General features: G+C 41.0%; 3 protein-coding genes across 35 annotated transcripts in view, besides 6 other annotated features; 2 read left to right on the forward strand and 1 right to left on the reverse strand.

Moving 5' to 3' along the window:
- The window catches only part of TOM1L1 (target of myb1 like 1 membrane trafficking protein), a 61,105-nt gene extending 50,535 nt beyond the window's left edge, over nt 1–10,570 (forward strand). For all 7 annotated transcript variants that reach the window (XR_243612.4, NM_001321175.2, NM_005486.3 and 4 more), the window contains 2 exons: nt 9,180–9,241; nt 9,849–10,570. Coding sequence is in view for 6 of the 7 variants with exons in the window: in NM_001321175.2 (NP_001308104.1) it covers nt 9,180–9,240 (61 nt within the window). In the remaining variant the exon portion in view is untranslated. The remainder of the gene's footprint in view (nt 1–9,179; nt 9,242–9,848) is intronic.
- COX11 (cytochrome c oxidase copper chaperone COX11) lies at nt 516–17,399 on the reverse strand. Of its 14 annotated transcripts, none has more exons than XM_017024196.3 (6): nt 16,895–17,399; nt 13,311–13,466; nt 11,920–12,045; nt 9,733–9,926; nt 2,275–2,373; nt 516–726 (listed from the first exon to the last, which is right to left on the reverse strand). In XM_017024196.3, the coding sequence occupies exons 1-4, from the start codon at nt 17,258–17,260 to the stop codon at nt 9,879–9,881; spliced, it is 696 nt and encodes a 231-aa protein (XP_016879685.1). In that variant the 5' UTR covers nt 17,261–17,399; the 3' UTR covers nt 516–726; nt 2,275–2,373; nt 9,733–9,878. The 14 variants fall into 14 exon arrangements, 11 of the variants coding, with proteins under 11 accessions (XP_016879685.1, XP_047291326.1, XP_024306351.1 ...); XM_047435370.1 differs by having other exon boundaries at nt 9,733–11,529; NR_027942.3 differs by lacking the exon at nt 2,275–2,373 and having other exon boundaries at nt 16,895–17,268.
- Nucleotides 16,338–17,287: an enhancer, noted in NCBI's record as "H3K27ac hESC enhancer chr17:53045085-53046034 (GRCh37/hg19 assembly coordinates)". NCBI's record gives its function as "activates a minimal SCP1, AML or CMV promoter by ChIP-STARR-seq in naive and primed H9 embryonic stem cells {active_cell/tissue: H9 hESC(naive and primed)}" and the evidence as "EXISTENCE:reporter gene assay evidence [ECO:0000049][PMID:30033119]".
- Nucleotides 17,137–17,196: an enhancer, noted in NCBI's record as "active region_12408". NCBI's record gives its function as "activates an Ori minimal core promoter by ATAC-STARR-seq in GM12878 lymphoblastoid cells {active_cell/tissue: GM12878}" and the evidence as "EXISTENCE:reporter gene assay evidence [ECO:0000049][PMID:35858748]".
- Nucleotides 17,207–17,286: an enhancer, noted in NCBI's record as "active region_12409". NCBI's record gives its function as "activates an Ori minimal core promoter by ATAC-STARR-seq in GM12878 lymphoblastoid cells {active_cell/tissue: GM12878}" and the evidence as "EXISTENCE:reporter gene assay evidence [ECO:0000049][PMID:35858748]".
- Nucleotides 17,288–18,236: an enhancer, noted in NCBI's record as "H3K27ac hESC enhancer chr17:53046035-53046983 (GRCh37/hg19 assembly coordinates)". NCBI's record gives its function as "activates a minimal SCP1, AML or CMV promoter by ChIP-STARR-seq in primed H9 embryonic stem cells {active_cell/tissue: H9 hESC(primed)}" and the evidence as "EXISTENCE:reporter gene assay evidence [ECO:0000049][PMID:30033119]".
- STXBP4 (syntaxin binding protein 4) overlaps nt 17,379–23,075 on the forward strand; it is a 244,509-nt gene continuing 238,812 nt past the window's right edge. For all 14 annotated transcript variants that reach the window (XR_007065289.1, XM_047435714.1, XM_017024410.2 and 11 more), the window contains exon 1: nt 17,379–17,429. The gene's annotated coding sequence lies outside the window, so the exon portion shown is untranslated. The remainder of the gene's footprint in view (nt 17,430–23,075) is intronic.
- Nucleotides 17,467–17,566: an enhancer, noted in NCBI's record as "active region_12410". NCBI's record gives its function as "activates an Ori minimal core promoter by ATAC-STARR-seq in GM12878 lymphoblastoid cells {active_cell/tissue: GM12878}" and the evidence as "EXISTENCE:reporter gene assay evidence [ECO:0000049][PMID:35858748]".
- Nucleotides 17,647–17,696: an enhancer, noted in NCBI's record as "active region_12411". NCBI's record gives its function as "activates an Ori minimal core promoter by ATAC-STARR-seq in GM12878 lymphoblastoid cells {active_cell/tissue: GM12878}" and the evidence as "EXISTENCE:reporter gene assay evidence [ECO:0000049][PMID:35858748]".

Consider the following 23,075-nt stretch of genomic DNA (forward strand, 5'->3'; position numbering starts at 1 on the left):
AAGCTTCTTGATGTCAGCATTCCTTCCCCCAGGGTATAGGGCAGGACCCTCTCTAGGGAGGCTCTTATGACCCACAGTGACAAAGGTGGGCGATTAGAGTGGTGCCTTGGGGCAGGTGAAAGGAGGACTAGAGAAGGTCGAGAGATTCTGCTTCCAGAGGCTGGCTCCTAAGGCCTGACACACCCAACATTATAACAAAAGACTGTAACAAGGGCTATGGGAGTTGTGAGCCAGGAACCTTAGACAAAAACCAGTATGTATCATAAGACCACAGTTGCCAACAGCTGAAAACTCGGATATTTGAAAATAAAAATTCTGGACTTCTAGATCATTTAGATACTCTGTCAACACGAAGCCTGAATTTTTACGTGCTAGCTATGGGCTGGGGTTGAGTAGTAGCTATCTCCTTTACACAGGTAGGCTCTGCAGCCCCTCAGGTCCTGTTACCACCCAAAAAACCCAGGGTTCATTCACCTGGATAGTAACAGATATCTGACTCTCCACAAGGACACAGGTTTTGATCAATAGGAATTTTATTACTTAGCACAAGTAAATTCTTTAGGGGCCAGGATCAGAAAGCGTTCTTCTGTAACTTCTTCATGTTGACCAGGGACACTGTATCCAGAGATGTTAGAGGAGTGAAAATCTCTAGGCACTAAAACTAAATATGTTTTAGGGTCTCCCAGGATAGGTTGCAAAGGCACCTACAGTTGAAATTTTTCTAATCTGGAAGATACAAATTTTACGAAGAGGTTAAAGATGCAGGGACCAAACAACAGTAGTAAGAGCAATAAAATTAGTGGCCTCATTAGGGGAAGAAACCAAGTAACACTTGGTATTGCTAATTTGAGAACTTCTCAAACAGAATTAGAAGTATGGCTATTAGGCCTGATGTGGTGGCTCACCCCTGTAATCCCAGCACTTTGCGAGGCCAAGGCGCGCAGATCACCCTGAATTCAAGATCAGCCTGGGCAACATGGTGAAACCCCGTCTCTACTAAAAATACAAAAATTAGGCAGGTGTGGTGGTGCGCACCTGTAGTCCCAGCTACTCAGGAAGGTGAGGCAGAAAAATCGCTAGAACCCAGGAGGTAGAGGTTGCAGTGAGCCCAGATCGTGCCCCACTGCATTCCAACCTGGGCAACAGAGCGAGACTGTCTCAAAAAAAAAAAAAAAAAAAAAATATGGCTGCTGATTAAAAGTGTGGAACCAAGAGGCTTGGGCATGGACCTTCCTAATGTTAACTTCCTATTTCCCCTGAGGTATTTATTCAGGTACAGCAAGAGGAATTAATAACTGCACACTCTCCTCCTCCCTGTTCTGCTAAGAGGCAGTCTAATGCTATACAATTATCTAGTACCGCATTAGCCAAGGAGTCATATGAGGCCCCAAGTCTGGAACTTCCCCAGGAACTAGGGCCAGCATGGCAGTGCCATGGGCTCAGAACACCTCTATTCTGTCCTGATTTAGAGAAATTGTGGCTCCAAACTTAGTCAGAAGGTCCCTTCCCAAAAGGAGAATGGGATGTTTGGGGAACAGAAGAAAGAATGAGTGAAAGTTTTAGATACTATTTCATGGACCAGAGGCTCCAAGAATCTTTTATTTCCTTTATGAGACACACCCCTTATATACATTTCTTCCTGGATAGGGTCCACTTTTAGTGATCAACACAGAAAACATGGCTACAGTGTTGATCAAAAACTCAGCTGGTGGCCGGGAGCAGTGGCTCATGCCTGTAATGCCAACACTTTGGGAGGCCAAGGCTGGAGGATCACTTGAGCCCAGGAGTTCAAGACCAGCCCTGACAGCATAACGAGACCTTGTCTCCACAAACAAACAAAAAAATCAGCCAGGTGTGCCTTAGTCCCAGCTACTTGAGAGGCTAAGGTGGGAGGACTGCTTGAGCCTGGGAGTTGGAGGCGGCAGTGCGCCATGATCACGGTGCTGCACTCCAGCCTGGGTAACACAGACCCTGTCTCAAACAAACGAAAAAAAATCCAACTGGTTGCCCCCCTTCTTCTGTGTAACCTGGGGCTCCTTGGGGGAGATGTGGATCTTGTTTTGAGGAGCCAGGCAGGGAGCCCCATGTCCCCATCCATCAGTTTCTTGTCCAGTTACAGGGAACAGGTACCTTGGGCTTGTCCTCCTCCTTCCCTCTCTGGGGATGATTTGGACATTCCCTTTCCTAGCATCCTTTCTGCTTCCAGTAAGCATATTGTTTGGGCCCCAGTGTAGGCAGGCCCTGAGTTCCATGGTGGGGGCCCTGGTCACTCACCCATGCCATCTTCTTCCTGGGCTTCCTGAAGTAGTCTGTAGGGCTGCCGCATCTTCTTGTCTTCCTTTTCATCAGATGCCACATCTCTTTACTATAGACCTTAAAGGAGATGTCTACCAGTTGGAAAGGGGGAGTATGTGGATTTATTGCCACTTTTTAGAGTTTTCTCTGAATATCTGGGGCTGAGAGATGAAGTGAGATTAAAGTACTACTCAGCTTTTGGGTCATCTGGGTCCCAAGGGGTGTAATTCTGGAGGCATTCTTATTATCAATTTAGGAATGCTGATGGATTTTCATTAGGGCCTTGTTCTATTTCTCTGAGATTTCCCCAATTGACCAGGGACTGGCTTGCTTCCCTCATACCTCTGAGAAGCATATTCCTATAATGATGAAGCCACTCTTGATTCTTGTTATCACTGGGGTCCCAGTTTGGGTTGGCTATTGGGACTGACACCTCAACGGGCCAGGTCACCAGGTTATCAGCACACATATTGTCTGCCTCCTCCTTAGTTTTGGCCATGGTGGCAGATTTATCTTCTGCTGTGAGCAGGGTTGCTGTTACGGTCTGCACACCTGGCCAGGTAGGGTTATGTGTGGAGAATATTCTCCATATGAGAGTTACGAACTCTCGTGGGCTCACCCATAAGCCCTTACTATGGGATTTCCAGTTATACAAGTCAACAGTTTTAAAAAACACATAGACCCGAGCAAAACCTCTTTCTCCAACAGGCATGCTCTGAGTGGCAACAGTCACCCTCCAGGGTTATATGCGTTCCCACTATGAGTGGTGCTCCCTGGCAAAGAAGAGTGCAACAGGGGCCTGCTATTGCCATAGCAGGAGCCACAGCTGGCTCTGCAGAGTTTGGAGGGCCTGGCAAATACAGAACGGGCCCTTGCTTTTCCCTGGAGGTGCAGAGGGTACCATTTCCAAGAAGGTGGACTATGCCCCTGTATTGGCCAAGGTTCCAGTCCCCGAGTAGAGTTAGAGGGCCTCACTTCTCTTGGAGGGGGTAGTAAAGGGACTCTTCTTACTTGTTCCCTTCCCTATAGGCCCCCACATGACTGATGCTTCCTCTCCAGAGGCTTCTAGAATTGGCAATATAGTTCCCTTTGGCCAATTTACATATTCTGCATTTCATCTGCAAGGCAGGGTTTTGATAGAGGGCCATAAAACATTGCATATAGGGCATTTCTTCCCATTTACCATGTTTCTTGCAAAAAAAGTCCAATTGGAGAGTTGCAGTAAGTGACCCATATTCAGACCATCTCTTCTGATCTAGGGAATACTGGAGCCAGGCTGTATTACAGTAATATATCATTTGCTTTTTGGTCATGGGTGGATATGCAGTTTCCATTGCCAGAGGAGGCACCCTAACAAGCTCTCCTTCCAAGACCTAGTTCACGACATTCTACGGTCTCTGCACACAGTCTGAGGGGCTTCCAAACTCTGGAGATTAATGATGACACAAATCCCACAACTCAGCTTGAATACTTCTGGTCCTCTTTGCTGGCCACCATGCAAAGCCATCCAGAGGTCCTGGGAAGCTGAGAGGATAACAGGGATTTCCTTTCCCTGGATCATGTTCGGTCCGGGCAGCCTCCCAGGAGATCTCATGGAGACAATGAAGTAGTTCTGGATCCAGCTCAGGTGGTGGGGAGGTAGGTAAATCAATCAAGTGAGTGAGGTGTTTCCTCAGAGAAAGCACACACACTGTTCATGTAACCTTTGTATCACTGCATTCTGGTTCCAGGGATCATGATCCCACCAAAACTGCCCCCTTTGAAACTTGGGTCTCCTCATCAAACTAACAGCAGTCCTTCTGTGACTGCTGCAAAACAAAGCCTGATATTTTAGGGGTTGCCACAGACTAAGGGTAGAAGAATCCAGACTTCATATTCATTCAGGCCACAGACAAGTAAGAATATTGAGCCCTACAGTTATACCACGTAGGGAACAAAGCCTGAAGACAAGCATCCTTGTCTTTTTGTTGGGGATTCCCCTTGTTAAAACGATGGCGATGTCTCTCAGTCTCCCAGACCTGAAAGAAGGAACTTCTTTTTCTCAACAATCCTGGATCCCTTGACCTAGGTCCTAATCCTGACAACCCAGAATCCTAATGATCAAAACCCAGACCACTCTTTTAGTAGTTCATGGAGCTGCTGCTTCAAAGCAGCACCGAGCAAAAGGTCTGGGCTCTAGGCAGCCGCTTCTACTCTCCCAGAGAGGTCTTGTGGTGCTGGTCAGTGGACTACACTAGACACCAGGTCAGGGGTCCCAAGGCCCTTCTCTAGTCTCCTTCTTGGCAACTGAGGTGAGTTGGCCCACGCATGCTTCCACATCCCACTGCTTTGCCTGCCAGGAGCCTATAAGGGAGGTCAAGTCAGGGCTCAACCCTGGGTCTCATCTGGGGTACCAGACTTGTTACCCCTAAAAAAACCTGAGATTCATTCATCTGGTAATAGACAACTCTCCATGAGAACACAGGTTATTATTATTTTTTCTTGACAGGGTCTCACTGTGTCACTCAAACTAGAATAAAGTGGCATGATCACGGCTTACTGCAACCTTGACTTCCCAGGTTGAAGCAGTCCTCCCTACTCAGCCTCATGAGTAGCTGAGACTATTGGGGTGTGCTACCATGCCTGGCTAATTTAATTTTTTGAGACAGAGTGTCACTCTGTCATTAGGCTGGAGTATAGTGGGGGTGATCTCGGCTCACTGCAACTTCTGCCTCCCAGGCTCAGGCAATTCTCATGCCTCAGCCTCCTGAGTAGCTGGGGACTACAAGCATGTGCCACCACGCCTGGCTAATTTTTTTGTATATTTAGTAGAGACAGGGTTTTGCCACGTTGCCCAGGCTGGTCTCGAACTCTTGGTCTCAAGTTCATCTACCCACCTCAGCCTCCCAAAGTGCTGGGATTACAGGTGTAAGCCACCGTGCCTAGCCTTTTAATTTTTTTCTTTTTTATAGAGAAGGGGGTCTGTGTTGCCCAGGCTAGTTTTGAACTCCTGGGCTCAAGCAATCCTCCTGCCTCAGCCTTCCAAAGTGCTGGGATTATAGGCATGAGCCACTATAACCAACCAAGAATGCAGGCTTTGAGCAATAGTTTTATTACTTGTCACAAATAAAGCACCGGGCATAGTCTCCAAAGCAGGAAAGTGACAGGAGGGTTTTATGGGGTGATAGAGAGGGAAGAGGGTATGTCGTTGCATGGAAAGGGGTTGCAGTTGTGCAGATGCAGTGAGTCGTTATTTCAGCACACAGGTCACATGTTATGGTAATGAAGCTATAGCATCTCCCAGGGTGAAGATACTAGCATGGTAATGAGGAAAGTACACTGGGATCCATCTGTAAATTGCTGAGGTCTGTCATGAACTGGTTTAAACCAGCTAGCTGGCTGCATTCCACACAGGGTTTGGGGAAAAAAGCAGGTGATTACTCAAGTTGATTGTACTCCTATAGTCCCTGGAGACCCCTCCTATCTGCTTCCAGCCCCACCCAACCCTCTGCATCTCTTCTTTGGCTGACATGTGTAGACATTTGATATTCTGGTCCCTGGTTTAATCCCTCAATGTAATGGTTGACTTAATTTATGAGCAGATGTTAAGGGACTTAGGAGTCCACTATGTATTTTTTCCTAACTCAGGTTTGAGAAATTTCTCTAAGTCATTCTGCCTGATAGAGTAGATATATCACTGATCATATTAGTGGTTTAAGACACTGGCACTTAACTAGGTATGCTTTCTAGAAACGTTTTTTTAATCAGTTTCTCCATCCAAACAGGTAGTGGAAAAGTTCTTGATTATATTCAAATTAGGAGATTGCTGTATGTTGATACGGCAGTGTCACAGATACTGGCGGTGGGAGAGACAGTAAAAAGCTGGAGGTGAAGCTTTGGAACTCTTTTATCACTGTGGTGGGTCTTTCTTTCTGGGGGTCAGAATGTCTCAGTTCTTTTGAAAGTCCCATGAAATTCAGGGACTTCCCTCCAAGGAAAAGCACAGAATCTTGCAGGAAATTACTGGGTTTTTTTCACATCATTGGTTGTCCATGAATCCCAGGTTGACAATTTTTGCTCTACCAGGACAAACAGTATGTTTATGAAGATACACACGATTCACTAATTTCAATATTATGTGCCAGGGACTATGACTGGACTAATTTATAATTCTGAACAAGAAACATGCTCCCTTGTCCTCACAGAGGTTAAACGTAGTATGGATACAGAAATTAGACAAACCACCAAATACATGTTTACAAAATTTGTGTTAATGTTATGAAAGAATATGGCAACTTGAAAGTTTGTAACAGAACTAATTTAAATGAGGATTAGAGAAAGCTTCAGGTAGCATTAATGCTGAGGCCTGCAATTCTTAGTTAAGTGAAAAGTTTGGAAATGAGTATTGTAGGCCCAAGGAACAACCTGTACAAAGACCCAGAGGACAGAGCTCTGGCACATTCAAGGAAATGGAAATGCTAAAACCAAGAGTAAAGAAAGTTAACAGGGAGCTCAGTACCAGATGAGGAAAATGTAATTTGGAAGCAAAAAGGAGCGAGTACAACTGTGAAGAACAGTGCCAGGGGCAGACAAGTAAGATAAGAACTGAAAACTAGATAATGGATTGGAGATCATTGATGATTTTAGTAAAAGCTACTTTGATGGACTGATGAAGACAGAACCCAAATTTCAGTGCATTTGAAAAGCACATGAGAGATTAAGTAGAGACAGTAAGTACAGATAACTTCTTAGAACTTAAATATGAAGCAGTGATGAAAACAGGTTTGGGGCCGGGCACGGTGGCTCACGCCTATAATCCCAGCACTTTGAGAGGCCAAGGCAGGCGGATCGCCTGAAGTCAGGAGTTTGAGACCAGCCTGGCCAACATGGCAAAACCCTGTCTCTACTAAAAATACAAAAATTAGCCAGGCGTGGTAGCGGGTGTCTGTAATTCCAACTATTCGGGAGGATGAATAGGAGAATCGTTTGAACCCAGGAGGTAGAGGCTGCAGTGAGCTGAGATCCCACTATTGCACTCTAGCGTGGGCAACAAGAGTGAAACTCCATCTCAAAAAAAAAAAAAAAAAAGGGGTTGTTGGTAGCTAGAGGATACTAAGGCATTTACTACAAGAAGAGATGGAATTAAAGGCTGTACTTTGTATAAAATGGGAGACATGGGAGATGCTGGAGAATCTGTGAATGTTGAAGAATAGGATCTGGCATAGAAGGAGAGGTTGAAGACTCAGGAAGGGAAGAATAACTGAATGGGTCAAGTGCTTCAGAAGCCAGGAATAGACAGGATCACAGAAATAATGGACAATACAAATGAAGATAAACTTGAAGATTTAGTGATGGGAAAATGAGGAAGTTTCCATATCAAGACATTTAATGTATTAAGAATGCAGTTTCTACCAGAGAGTTTAGAGGTTTGAGGAGAGTGAAGAAGACTGAAATCGTTTTGAGGGAGATGAGACCAAACTTTTTAGGGAAACATTAAAATTGTAGCACCATTCTGGGGCCTTATGAACTTGGTGATCATGGTTTCATAGCGCTGTGATTTTTGAGATTTTTCCTCAGCCATGTTTTGCTATACTGTATATATGAATGTTGTGCTTTCAGGTATATTTTCCAGCTACAGACATATGTAAGACGCATATAAAGAATTGAATGGGCCTGGCATGGTGGCTTATGCCTCTAATCCCAACATTTTGAGAGGCTGAAGTGGAAGGATCACTTGAACCTGGGAGGTCGAAGCTGCAATAAGCCATGATTGCACCACTGCACTCCAGCCTGGGTGACAGTGACCCTGTCTCAAAAAAAAGAAAAAAGAAAAACGAATGAAGGATGTCATTGAAAAAATACAATATAAAAAAAGTACAGAAATGACAGTGATGAGCTATAGATGGCTGAGGAGTCTGGACTGTAATCACATAGTTTAAATAAGCTGGAAGATTAATTTTTTTTTTTTTTTTTTGAGACGAAAGTCTTGCTCTGTAGCCCAGGCTGGAGTGCAGTGGCACGATCTCAGCTCACTGCAATCTCCGCCTCCTAGGCTCCAGTGATCCTCCGACCTCAGCTTCCTGAGTACCTGGGACTACAGGTGTGTACCACCACACATGATAATTTTTATGTTTTTTGTAGAGATGGTATTTTGCCATGTTGTTCATACTGGTCTTGAAATCCTGGACTCAAGCGATCCACCCACCTCAGCCTCCCAGAGTGCTGGGATTATAGGTGTGAGCCACTGCACTTGTCCTAATATTTTTTTAAAAAGTTTGAAACCAGAAGAAACTGAGGAGTTTTTTAAGCAAAACATAAACTGTCCAAATTTGAGTCATATTTCTCATTTCAATCACAAGAAAAAATTAATTGGTTCTATGAAATACATACTTTTAAGAGACATAGGAATTGCAACAATAAGGCCGGGTGTGGTGGCTCACACCTGTAATCCCAGCACTTTGGGAGGCCGAGGCGGGTGGATCACCTGAGGTCAGGAGTTTGAAACCAGCCTGGCCAACAGGGTGAAACCCTGTCTCTACTTAAAATACAAAAAAATTAGCTGGGCATGGTTGTGTGTCCCTGTAATCCCAGCTACTCGTGGGGCTGAGGCAGGAGAATCACTTGAACCTGGGAGGCAGAGGTTGCAGTGAGCCAAGAAAGCACCATTGCACTCCAGCCTGGACAAAAGAGTGAGACTCTGTCTCAAAAAAAAAGAAAAAATGAAGTGCAACATTAGAATTTAAATAAACTAGAATACACACTTCAGGGCAGAGACTTATTTTTACTCATATGTAGCCTGAACTCCAAAACCAGCTCAATTTTTAATTACAGTGCTGGCAGTTAAAAACCAAAATAGCACTTTGAAATTGATACATAACCCTTTTGCTGTGATGGCTTTGTTTCAGAGCTATTTATGAAGAAATTGATGCTCACCAGCACAAAGGAGCTCAAAATGATGGTGACTGAGGTAAAGACTTCAACTTATACAACTTAATTCCATATTCCATATAATTTCAGTATAATTATCACTTTACATATTTAGTATTTAAATTTTCTAAGGGCCATCTGAGTCTGACACTTTGAAATATGAGTTCCCCTGAATCATTCAAATTGTGCTGAACCATTGTTCACTAATGAGAGTCATTCTTTGTGATTTTCTCATCTGTAAATAGTAAGGCTTGGGAATACAGTAGTTTATGGTATAGAAATATTAATGCTAACAAAATAGATGAGCAATAGGAGTAGCACTGAAATCAGGCATTTGTTTTTCATATGCAGTTAATACTTGTTAACCGGTACCAGTAGACCCATTTACCGTTAGTCCTCCAAATAGGTCTGAATTTTTCCTATTTTCAGCACTACTAATCCCATGTATTTACTATTTAATGGTCACCAATGAACTATCAAAACTTATTTATTCCCCTTATACCCTCCCCTATGGAAGAAGCACATTCTTACCTTTCTTCTACTAGACTGTGACTCTCCAGCTTCCCAGTAAAGACAAGAGAGTTATCAAGGAATGGGGAAAGAGAAGGACAGGATGAATACTGGCCATTTTCTTCTCTTTATTTTAGAAGAAAGTGGATGATCAGCTCACTACCACATCAAAGGTGCCAACTCTCTAAAACGTAGACTCTGTGCAGCTTTGAAGCCTGGAAGACAATACCTACCAACATGTCAAAGCCATGGTGGCACATTTCTGCTATAATGAAGATTAAATAGAATAACAGTTCCAGGATAACACTGATTCCTGACAACAGCGTGAGATTTCAACAGAACTTGTTTGGAACAAATACTCACTTAAAACTTCAGCAGAAGAAAAATTACTTAGTCCTTAGGCCAACCAATTTAACTGCAGTGTCATGTTTCACAGGCCTTCCTACATTTAGAAATCGTCACACAGCTGTGATAAGAGTAGATTATTTTACTATGAAATAATTCTGAATAGATGAAAGCATAAAATGTGAGAAACTGAATGTATTATTCAGGAAGAATACTGAGTGCCTTCATTTAACTAAAGTTGAATGTAAAAGTCAATTTGCACTTCTTTATAATCCTCTGGTTTAGAATTATAAATTGTTAAAACCTTGATAATTGTCATTTAATTATATTTCAGGTGTCCTGAACAGGTCACTAGACTCTACATTGGGCAGCCTTTAAATATGATTCTTTGTAATGCTAAATAGCCTTTTTTTCTCTTTTTACTGCAACTTAATATTTCTATTTAGAACACAGAAAATGAAAATATTTAGAATAAGTTGTACATTTGATGACAAATAAATCACTATTAAAACAATTTAATACTTTTTTTTTTTAACAAAGGTTTGTTTCCAGAAGAACTTTTGATGTCAGTAAATCTTCACAATCCCACCTGTACATTTTAACATTCATGGACTTGTAATGGTGATGCTTTGGCTAACAGCCTAGTAGATGTATTTTATTTCAATTTTATGATACTACAGTTTCAAAGTAATTATTCAGAACTCTGAATATAAAATAGCCCTAAACCTTAAAGGACAAATCAAATTTGAAATAAGAATTTAAATCTTTGGACAAGCTGTTAGGGCTTAGTGACTCCTCTTCTACTTTGAGCTTTTAAAATACTGACTATTCATAATGAAGGAAAATAGCAACCAACTCTTTTAGACACAATAAACATGGTTAGAAGTTCTGGCCTATGACTTGAAACAAATAACCCTGAGCATACATTTTTGAAAAACATTGTCAGATTCATTGCTGTAAGTATGAAGAGTTAATAATCTGGAAGGGAATTATGGAATTAAGCTGAACCCATGCCTGCATATTTAAAAAACAAAGCGGCTTATTTTAATAGTATCAAACTCTTCAGTATGGTATTGAATAGTCAGTCATATATTCTAGCTAGGCATATGAGTTTCTTATGATAAAAGCTGAACTTGTTCTCTCAAGTTTAAGTGAAAAAAATTAGTTGAGAAAAAATAATTATTTAAAATATAAGCCTTCATATTATTGTACAATATTTCTCCTTTGAGAAGATAGGATATATGATTTTCCCAAAAATCACAACTTTGAAGGAAGACTTAGTTGCTGACTTCAATTATATCCTGGAACTGGCAACTTGTGCCCTTCCTTTGCTTCAAAAAAAGTGTAAGAAAGAGTGATAAGATCAACTTTAATCATTCTTGGATCTTCAGCAAATTCAGGATCAATGTAGAAAAACACTGGCATATCTACTTCCTCTTGGGGATTAAGCCTTTGTTCTTCAAAACAGAAGCACTGGAAATTATAGAAAGATTTTAATAACATTTCTATTCTCGTATTACATAACAGAAACTATACAGTTCTTTTATCTTAGCATTCCAGTACACTTCGTGATTTTAATAAGCATACTATTAAATACACAGTTCTGTGATAAATTAAGAGCATCTTTTCATCTCAATGAGTTCTGCTTTAAGGATGAAGAACAAATTCTAATCTTAAAAGCAGATATCCATTTGGTTTGGTTCTCAATCTCTGCATAGCAGGTATAGATAGTGAAGAAAAATAGCTTGATGTTTAGAAGAAATTCGTTTTCAGAAATCACAAGATCTACTAAAACACTAAGTTTCATACTAAACCGTTTCATGTATCTTTATCATATTCTGTAAAGTTTACACTTTGATGTACCTGTATTTTATTGAAATACTGTCCAGCTTCAAATGGAACAATATTGTATGTAGAAATTCCAATTACTGGTTTGTCAGTAGGATTCTTAGCTCTGTAAAACGCCAGTGCAGTCTCTCCTGGCACCACCTGTTTTAAAGAATATATATATTATCAATACTTTGAATCTCACAAAGTTCCTCTTTTCCCTGCTAAATTAGTCTCATTATTTTGCCTATTCATCAGACCATAATACCTAATCTAATGTAGGGTTCAGCAAAATAAATTGTGAATATTACCCATAAACATATCTGAGTTTAAAAACTTACTTGCATATGTCAATGAAGAACCAATGTTCTAATATCCATAATTAGTTATGAACTGTCCTCTTGTATATTTGAGGTCTTCAAGGAATAATCGGCAAATTACATTATTTAAAATGTGTCCAAGCCAATCATATCACAGCCCTAGCCCAACTTTTCTGTAACACTTATACCTGAATGTCATGATTGACTATTTTTTTTAAAAAGATACCAACATTAAACTTACCTTAAAATCAGAATAAAACTGACTGACTAGAACCTTTATTATGCCACAAAGTGTTAATACTTTGGAGAAAATAAGGGAATAGCGAGGCTTAAAAAAATTTTCCAAAGGATATTCTGTCACTTGTACCAATTCAGCCACTAATACCTTTGTATACTACCACGTAATTGGAGAAGATTCATAATCATAACCTATAAAATCTTTATTAAGAGATTCAGTCATGTTTACTAAACTGGGCAAGCACTAATATTTATAAGGCTTTTCCAATATGGGTTGAAATTAACTCACTCTGGCTAATCCTCAATTAATGAGATTTCAGTTAAAATCTTTCTTACAGTTGGTTAAAATTTTAGGAAAGCGTTTAGGTATAGTCTCAGTCTCACTGGAGTATAACATAACTATTTACTACTTATTGATTATTTCAAAGGCCCTCAATTTGTTTTCTTTTAGAAGGACAGGGATACTTTTGATATAAACCAGTAAACTACTCATTGTAACCAATGCTTTTCCACATTTTTCCCATGTCTTCTATGCCTGAGGAAAAGTCAGGAAGCTATATAGCCTGACGGTTACTGCTACTCCCAACTGTTTCACTCATCTAAACTTAATTTCAAAATACTGACGGGTTCCATTACTATAAATTTTTTTATTCCCATAGACTACTTTTTAATAGTGCTTTACACCTAATGTAACAGAATTTATACTTTAACTTTTAAGTTACATGATAGTAAAAGTCAATTTGGAACAATGGAAAATGCCATGTTTTATTAGAATCATAGTGTTAAAATTAGTCCTCTGACAGTTTAAGTGATGAAAGAAAGGAATTTACATTAATAAAGTAATCTTTTAATGACTGGTTAGTCACTTACATATATTTCTGTTTGCTGAGGTCTAAAGTTCCACTGGAGACTTGCATGCACATCTGCATTAAAGCTAATTTTAATGATTCGATCTTTAACAGGCACCATGTTTTCAATCTTGTCTGAGGCATGACCTGCAACTGCTGATCCTCCAAGTCCAGTAGTCTAGAAAAAGATACCAAATATGTTAAACAATACTTTTAGGTGTTGATGATCTATTTATTTGATAAAAGTTTAAAAACAATGTAGTATTTATAATCCATTTGGAGCCAAGTTTACATATGGTAACTGACCATTGCTGTAACTGTGTCAAGAATCTGACTACTTTTGGGATGTCATGAGCCTGTATTTGTTAAAGTCATTCCTATTTTTCAGCAATCCCTTGGTTACCTGGCATGGTCAAAAATGAGTCTGGGAAAAGCAGGTTCACTAGATAAGTCAACTATTATCACTGATAGTCGAACTCACAATTTCCAGCTTAGCCATTTATAAAAAACACATTTCCCTTTATTGCTAGTATTTCATTAATAGAAATAAAATTTACCCATGACCTTGTAATTCCACTGAAAATACTTAACTCAATTTTTCCATATTCCTGTCTGGTCCTTTTCCATATCACAGCTTTTATAATCCAAATAAGATTGTAGCTTCACTTTTATTAACATTCTGCTTTTCTAAGGTATCACAGGTATTTTCCCACGTTGGTTAATGGTTTTGAATCTTTTCTGTACTTCTCTGTATAGTAGAGCTTTTATATAAATCACTAATCAGAGCACCTAATCCCTATGGCCACAGAAATAATCATAGGGCATCAAGAGTATTTATGTCTGACATTTCTTTTATTCATGACAGTTATTTCCTTGACATCACTTTTAAAAAAAGCCCTTACCCAGCACTTTGGGAAGCCACGGGGGGCGGATCATGAGGTCAGGAGATGGAGACCATCCTGGCTAACACAGTGAACCCCCGTCTCTATTAAAAATAGAAAAAAATTAGCCGGGTGTGGTGACACGCGCCTGTAGTCCCAGGTCTACTCGGGAGGCTGAGGCAGAAGAATTGCTTGAACCCGGGAGGCGGAGGTTGCAGTGAGCCGAGATCACACCACTGCACTCCAGCCTGGGCAACAGAGCAAGACTCCATCTCAAAAGAAAAAAAAAAACGCCCTTACTTCCAAGGTCATCTTTCTTCTGATACTTGAGGTTGCCAGAATTCTGATTTCTGGATAATTTGCCTGTTACTATGCTAGGAAGAAAAAACAAAAAACAAATTTGAGGCTAGGGGAAGACTCCCAGCAAGATACAGTGTTTTAGCATTCTCTGTTTGTTACGCAAGTCAACTAACTTCATTTGACTGCCATGCAACATTACTGAATTACATTATATCCCTAAAAGATGCATCAGAGGGCAAGCCTTTATCCTTGTTTATCCTTCTGCCTGAGTGCTGTGTTTAAGATGTAACTTCTTTTACTAAAAAATTTAAGTCACTTAAATAAAAATACTTTTAAGTGTCCTCCCTCAATAAAGATTCCAATATAGTCTTTGAATATGGGTTCAAATTTCTAAGTTCAATGCCTAAAGTAAAATAGACAAAAAGACTAGAAAACAGCACTAAAAAGATGTCCTGGTCTCTATTCTAGTTGTGCTACTAGCTCTAAGAACCTGATAGATTACAAATTACATTTGGCTTCCTGATCTATGATTGCATGTGGGCACATTTCACACGCAATATTATCAGTTATTTCAGTTTGGGGCAGGGTTTCTCAATCTTAGAACTATGGACATTTTGGGCTGAATAATTTTTTGTTGTTTGGGGGTGAGGCAGTGCTTTGTTGGTTATTTAGTAGCATTCCTAGCCTCTACCTATTAGATGCCAGTAGCACCCTATACCCCCACCTCCATGTTGTGACAACCAAAAATGTCTTCACACATCGCTAAATGTTCCCTGAGGGGCAAAAATCTCCTGGCGGTCTGAGAAGGATCTAGATTTGCTGATTTGGATTCAGTTCTGCTTATGATTTAACCAACTGGTAGTTTTAGAATTCATGCTTGGGCTTGGTCTCTGATGAAAAGTAATTCACATTCTATACTCATCCTCAAAATCAACTATTGCACATTCCCACATAAATGCTGGCATTAGGAGACTATGCCAGAAAAGAAAAGTCCTTTTGTCTTCTGCTTCATCATCTAAAAGAAAGGTAAATTGATTTCCACGGGCATGGTGGCTCACGCCTGTAATCCCAGCACTTTGGGAGGCCAAGGCAGGAGGGTCACTTGAGCCCAGGAGTTGAGACCAGCCTGAGCAACATAGGGAGACCTCGTCTCTACAAATTTAAATAAATAAACGTGCGCGCGCGCGCACACACACACACACACACACACACACACACGGAAAGAGTGAACTCCAGCTAAGAATACCAGTCATGGTGTTAAAAAAACAATTCCCAAACTTTCCTGCACGCTGGAATCACCTAAAACATACTTGACAATTACTGATGCCTGGTTCCCACTGTGGCCTTGTGATAAAATGGGTAATGTGTGTGGATTTTTAGAAGCTGTCCAGGTGATTCCCAATGTTGCTGTACAATGAATTTTGGGAGCCACTATCTTAAACACTTACTGAATCACTTGTGGCATGATTTTTAAACCGAAATTCCTGTCCCTACCCTAGACTTCCTAACCAGAATCTCTGGGGTAGGGGATCCCTGGAACGTGTATTTAACGTTAAGCTCCATAGGTGATCCTAATGGCCAGCCAAAGCTGCAAATTATTAGCTAAGAACAAAGGAGAAATCTCTAAAATACGTGAAACTTGTCTTTGCCTGTGGTTCTCAAAACTTGCCCTCAAAATCAACTACAGGACTTAACTAAAATATAGAGTGCTGGTCCCACTCCCCTTCTTCTCCCCGCCCCACCCCCCCACCCCGTGTTTCTGACTCAGTCCTGGAGTCGGGCCCTAGAATTTGCACTTTTAACAGGTTCCCGGGTGATGCTGATGCTGCCGGTCCTGGGCGCCACACTCCCAGAACCGTTGCAATGTACTTAACAGTTTCCAGGTTAAGTACATTACAGTTATATATTAACAGGGGTGGGGCGAGAGAGCCTCAAAGGCCTAATTCATGCCTCTTTGTACGGAGGAACTGCTAATCCCAGTTTAAGCCCAAGAAACACGAGTAGTCCAATTTCCAGAGTTACCCTTGGCACATAAACCACATGTGGTTTGCAGAGTGAATGTATGAATAATACATTTTAAAAGCGTGTGTGCGCAGGAGGGTAAGGCAGACTGCTAGATACCCGGTTAGAGGCTGCGGACCTTTTTTTTTTTTTTTGGCGAGGTGCAGTTCATAGATCAGGGGTTTCACTCTGCAGCATGGTATAAGCACAATCACTAAGAACTGGATGCTACTTGCAGTTTTGTCACCAATTTCTTTGGTGACTTTGGGTGTTAAGTGACTGTTTTGAACCTCTCTCCTCTTAGGTAGATAATATCGGAAACCTCTTCCACCTACGACCCGCAGAGCGAGGGCTTGTCCCGGGATTTGTCTTGCACCCCCACCTCTCGCGTCTGCGCCACCCTGCGGGCGGCGCCGGCCCCTACCTGGCAATAGAGCCGATAAAGGGGTACGGCAGCGTAGGACGCCCCCAGCATGCCCACGGCGACAGCGGCCACGTAAGTGAGGGTCGTCTTGTTCTGCCGCCGCCGCTCCTCCTCCTGCGCGCGTGTGAAAGGGTTCGAGCTCTTAGGCCGCCGCGGCGGCTGCAATGCTGGATGCCGGGCTCGAAGGCTGCAGCGCTTCCATGTCCCAAGCCACCTCAGTCCTCTCTCGGCACCTCCTGTCCCACTCCACTCTGGCCTAAGAAACGGCTCTACCCTCTCTGCAGCCCTGGTTGGAGACCCAGGGTGGATCCAGCGCCAGCCACAGAAAGGAACGCACCTCCATCCAGGACGCCAGAGCCCTCCCATAACCCTCTGAACTAACACCCACCCGCCTCTCAGGGACGAGAGGTCAAATCTCGCGAGGCGTGCTCCGTCTCGCGAGATCTGGGTTGAGCCTGCCGCTGCCTTGGCTACCAGGCTCCTCAGGTGGCAGCGCTTGCAGTCGGGCTACGGAGGCCGGGTTGCCAGATTACGGGTAAGTTTGCGTTTTGCTTTGTGACTGTTACTCCCACTTCGCTTCTCGCCAGAACGTCTCTTAACATTTAGGAAAATGCGTTTCGCCCGTCCGCGTGCAAGCTTGCCATCACTTGGGGTTGCGCCTGTGATCTTTATTTAAACTCCACCAGCCTTTGTCTCGACCCGGCAGCCCCGGCGACGCTCTCCCGCGGTCTTTTCTCCTGGGGTCCCTTGGCCGCTGGCTCCTGTGCTCACTGCCCTGGACTTAGTTCAAGTATCACCTCTCTCAGGAAGCCTTGCTGTGTTAACCGCAGCCCTCATGGGCACCCACGACACCTGCATTTTCTCAGCCCGTGGGCAGTCGGCTTCCCCTGCTCTGATGCCCCTTACAACTTGCCCAGTGGAAAGCACCACAGCTGGAGCAGGAGGGAGGCTGTCACGCTGAAGTTTGTTCTGGAGAGAGTGACCAGGATAGGAGGGCCATTTAAGGAGAGACTGAAAGAAACGAACCCCGTGGGAGGATGTAATAGCTTTCTTCAGTTGTCCCACAGGACGAACTCGAGGGGGGCAGACAGCATAGCGGATTTTACTGTGTTAGAAGGAAGCATCTTTCTAGAAACTATAAAATAGCAGTTAAGAGCTCAGGTTCTGAGGTTAGGGGGTTCTGGATTTTTACCCGGGTCCTCACCATGGCCCTGTGCCCTTAGGTCAGTTACTTGTCCTCTAAGACCTGGTGTCCTTACTTGTAAAATGGAAATCAGAACAGTAAATGAATAATATTCATATAACGTCTTTCATGATGACTGAGGCATAGTAAGAATGTAGTTAAAAGTTAGGCTGTATTTCTACTTGCTACGTGGCCATTTCTAATGGCCAGAGCAGGTATAATTATCCCCACTATGTGGATGAGGAACTTGGAGGCCTGAGAAATTTTAACTAGTCATTCGACATTTTATTTATTTATTGCCCTCTCAACTGTGGGCCTGACACCAATCGACCTGCTGGCACTATAGCACAGAACAAGTCGGGAGATCACTTCAGTGATGGAGTGTCCTTTCTGCTGAGGGACTCAGAAAATAATCAAGTAACAGTTACCGAAATAAGGGAATTTCAGATAACAATCAGTGCAGTGAAGACAATGTAATAACATAGTATGATTGACAGTCATGAGAAGCGGTAGTAAAGTAAGGACGTTTTGAAGAGGTGACATTTGAGTTTAGATCTGAACGATGATAAGGAGCTACCTACTCAATAACAATTCCAGGCCAAGCAAAGGCCCAGGGGAAGGAAAGAGATAGAATGATTGAAGAACAGAAAGAAGGCCACTGTGTTCCCAACATAGCAGAGTGGAAAGTGGTAGGAAATGGGGTCAGAACAGGTAACAAAGGCCTGGTAATACCAGCCTTTTAAGCCATGTCCAAGGGTTTGGATTTTATTCTAAAAGTAATAGGAAGCTATTGGAATGTTTGACACATACAAGTGATGTGATCTGACTCACATTTTTGAAAAGATATTGATTACTTTGTGGAGAATGGATTAAAGGTAGGGGGAGGAATGGAAGTAGAACAATTAGGAAGCAATTGCAGTAGTCCACATGAGTGATGATGGTCACCTTGAGTGAGTAATTGATTAACTTGTGGTCACAGGGCCAGAAAATTGCAGAACCAATAAAATATAAATACCTTCTGACTTCTTTCTATACTCTGGCATACTGTCTCAAAAATTTCAGGTCTCCATGATTCTACAAATTTATTCATATTGTGTGATGACAGTGTTTGAAAATCTTTTTCATCTGCATGCACCTTGGTTCTTGTACCAGATTCTCAGCTCTTCTAGGATGAGATTTCTCAAAGTTTAATTTTCTTACAGCATAGACTGAAATCCTTGATACCAACAGTACATTTCCACTCACCATTCTGTTTCTCCAGGCACCCCTTCTTTGTAGCTCCAGGTAGCAGTATAAATATATGTCAGTATACAGTCTTTGTCTTGGACTCCAGTATTTCATTTTTTGTATAATAATTGCAAAATGAAACTCTTATGTACAGTGATATTGATAGCAATGAAGTGGTGTTGGTCTTTGTAGCTTTCTACTTTAATAAAAGAAAATATGCATTGTATCTGATCTTAGTATGATAATGTGAAATGACAGTTCATGTTTATGAAATACTTCTGAATGACAACTAAATATTTTGGTTTTTTACTTATATTTTGAATGAAATGTGTAGAACATAATTTAGTTCAATGTCCAATTAACAAACATATTAAACAATTTAAAATATTTCTGCAACATAATAGTACTCAAATTTCTTGTATACCCTTCACCAAGATTAGAGAATGATAAAGATTCTTCAGTCTTTATCTGCATACTTACTTGTTTATTTCCTATTACAAGAACACTTTCTCCTTCCAAACCACAGAGCAGGCATCAAAATCAGTAAGTTAATATTTATCCAGTATTACCATATGTAGTCAGCTTGGACTACCAATAGCAAAATACCACAGACTGGTTGCTTAAACAACAGAAATACTTGTTTCTCAAAGTGCTGAAGGCTGGAAAGTCAAAGATCAATGTATCAACTGATTCACTTCCTGGTGAGGGGTCTCCCTGGCTTGTGACATCTACCATCTTGCTGTGGCCTTACATAGATTGGAGTAAATGAGCTCTTATGTCTCTTATAAGGACACCAATCCCATGAGATCAGGTTCCCACCCTTATGACCTCATTCAACCATAATTACTTCCTAATCCAAATACAGCTACATTGAGGGGTTAGGGCTTCAACATATGGATTTTGGGGGATATATATTAAATTCTTTACATCATGTTATTCATGGACTCTACATAAATTACCCCATTTGTCCCAATCATTTCCATTTTAGATCTAGGATTTAATCCAGGATTACTCGTTGATTTTAGTTGTCATGCCTCTTCAGTCTTCTTCAATCTGGAATAGTTGCCAGTCTTTTCTTGTCTTTTTCTTTCCTTTTTTATTTTTATTTTTATTTTTATTTTTGAGAGACAAGATCTTGCTGGGTTGCTCAGGCTGGTTTCAAACTCCTGGCCTTAGGTGGTCTTGGTCTCCCATAGTGCTGGGATTACAGGCATGAGCCACCGCACCCAGCCTTATCTTTCATGACTTTGACATTTTTGAGGAATACAGGCTGGTTACGTGATTAAATGTGCCTCAATATAGGTCTGTCTGATGTTTCCTCATGTTTGTGACCCCTTGACAGGAATATCTTAGAGGAGATGCTGTGCTTCAATCAGTGAGTCCTCTTAGGCATCACATGATCTCAATTTATTCCGTGGTTTCATGATGTTAACTTCTGTTTCTTTAAGATTGGGTCTGCCAGGTTTCTCTGTTACAAGGTGAATTAGCAAATATGTCACATTCATAAATTAATAGGCAATGTGTGTTTTGTGGGGAGAATCTTTGTGTTTTGTAGGGAGAAGCTTTGAGACTGTAAATATTCTGTTTCTCATCATATTTTCTCCTGCCAGATTTCTCCATTGATGCTTCTTGTTTGAATCTGTTATCACTGTGATGGATGCCAAATGACAATTTTCTAATGTTATCAGTCCTTCTAGATTTATTAGTTGGCATTTTACTGTAAGGTAGGGTTTTCCTTGCTATACCATATATTTCTTGTTTATTCGTTTACATCAATATAGACTCATGACTTCAAATTTTAATCAATTTATTACTATTATTTTTTAATTCTGATTTCAAATTTTCTTAGACTTAGCCAATAGAAGCCCCTTTATGACATGTTTCCATCATTCTTTCATCACTTCCTTATTTTCTGGCACTACAATGTGCCATGCTTATCTTGTATTTTCCTGACCTGCCTTGGAATCAGCCTTCTCTGCCACGAATTTTGGTTTCTTTAGTGGAAAGTGGCATTTAGAAAAAACTCTGAGCACTAGAAGTGTTCATTACTAGCCTCTCTCAGCAGAGACCCTAGAAAATTTTTGTGTATAAACAAGTGTGCATATGTGTGTTCAACAGCAGGAAATCTGGCTACCTTTATCTTCAGTGTATGTACTTACTTGCTCAATTCCCCCCATATGTAAGCAAATTACTGTGGCTGAAAGCTTGGCCCTAGAAAAGTGAATTCATCTCTGCCTGGTATGTCAGCCCAAAGCTGAGTATTAAATATGCTGCCCACTGGACACCATCCAAACACTCAGCAAGACAAAAGTGACGAGGAAGAAAGAAAGAGAAAAGTGTATTTAGGAAGTTCAGCTCCAGACATTTTAGAAAGGGTAGGAGGAAGGAGGAAAGGCCAGTTAGGAAGTTTGGTTCTAGACACATAGGCCCTTTCACCTACCCTTTTCCCAAGCTCAGCGCATGGATAGGGGAAGCAGGCTTAGAATGATGAGTTAACTTGTCCAAGCCTAATCGGTTGGGTAGTGGCAGAGCTGGAGTTTAAGCCTGGATTTTTTCTGACTCCTTACAACTTGCTATTTTTACTGCGTCTTGTAGAAAGCAGCTTTGCAACGGATGACAACAAAACAACAACAAAAACACTGAAGCCTTTCTTTTCTATATTAGGAAATATTTCTTTACTTTTGTCTCAGGTAAAAATCATCATTAACGTGGTTAGATGCCTATTTGTAAGATGGCATATTTGAAGTTATTTCTAAGCTAGAACAAACAGCTTAGACAGAGTTGAGCATAGTAGGATTGGGGTCAGAGACCGAGGTTATAACCTGGATACAAGGAGTTCTTATGATGATGAAAGGTCTGTCAATATGCATAGATACAATAACAATACAACATTGGGAGATGCTGAAATGAATATTTTTTTCTCTAAAGCTTTAAATGAATGCATAAGCCTGGGCTGCAATTTTTGTGAGTCTGAGTGTGCTTGTAATAATACATAAATTGTTACGATAACTAATGCCAAATAATGGATTATACCATGAATGGAATGAGAGCTCCTCAGGGCAGGGCTAATCCAACCCTGTTTTGTAGGTAGAGGTGTTAATTACACATTTTAAATATCAAGAGCTGGACTGACATTTCAGATTTGACACCTTTAATTTGCAACATTATTCTTCAGCAATAAACGTTAAACCTTGTAAACTCTTTCTGGTTAGCTATAATCATGTCCAATTTTATATATTAGGTAAAGTAAGTTATATAAGTTATTTTTCATATAAGCCATTTTGATATTCACATAATGTTTTCTTATCTGATTATTGATTTTTAGGCTTTCTATGGATTATAAAGATGTATTATTTTAAATTTTGGTATTTTTAATCCATAACATAAGTTAAGGAAATTGGGACTTCAGTCTTAATATGGTGGTCGTCACTGAACTGTATTTTCTAGTGGTTTTCCTGATAAAGCTCCTGAATCCATTTAACGATGTGAAATACCTAACAATAATTCTGACAATACTCACAACTGTTTATTTGGTAGCTATTTTTATCACAATACTTGTATCTAAAAGAATAAGAATAATGTATTTGAATAAATAGTAAGTACAAATATATGGTGTTTGCTTAAGAAAAGGCAGGGTAATCATTGTTTTCCAATTAGTGCACAATAATGCCCTGAAGTCGTCTCAGTCAGTTTTGATACCCTAGTTTCTTATTTTCTGGCAGTGGCCTCTGTGCCATCTTTTTGAGGAACTACTCCGTTTAAAAGCTCTTG

The sequence above is a fragment of the Homo sapiens genome, chromosome 17 (genome assembly GCF_000001405.40).
Source record: "Homo sapiens chromosome 17, GRCh38.p14 Primary Assembly".
Lineage (NCBI taxonomy): Eukaryota > Metazoa > Chordata > Mammalia > Primates > Hominidae > Homo > Homo sapiens.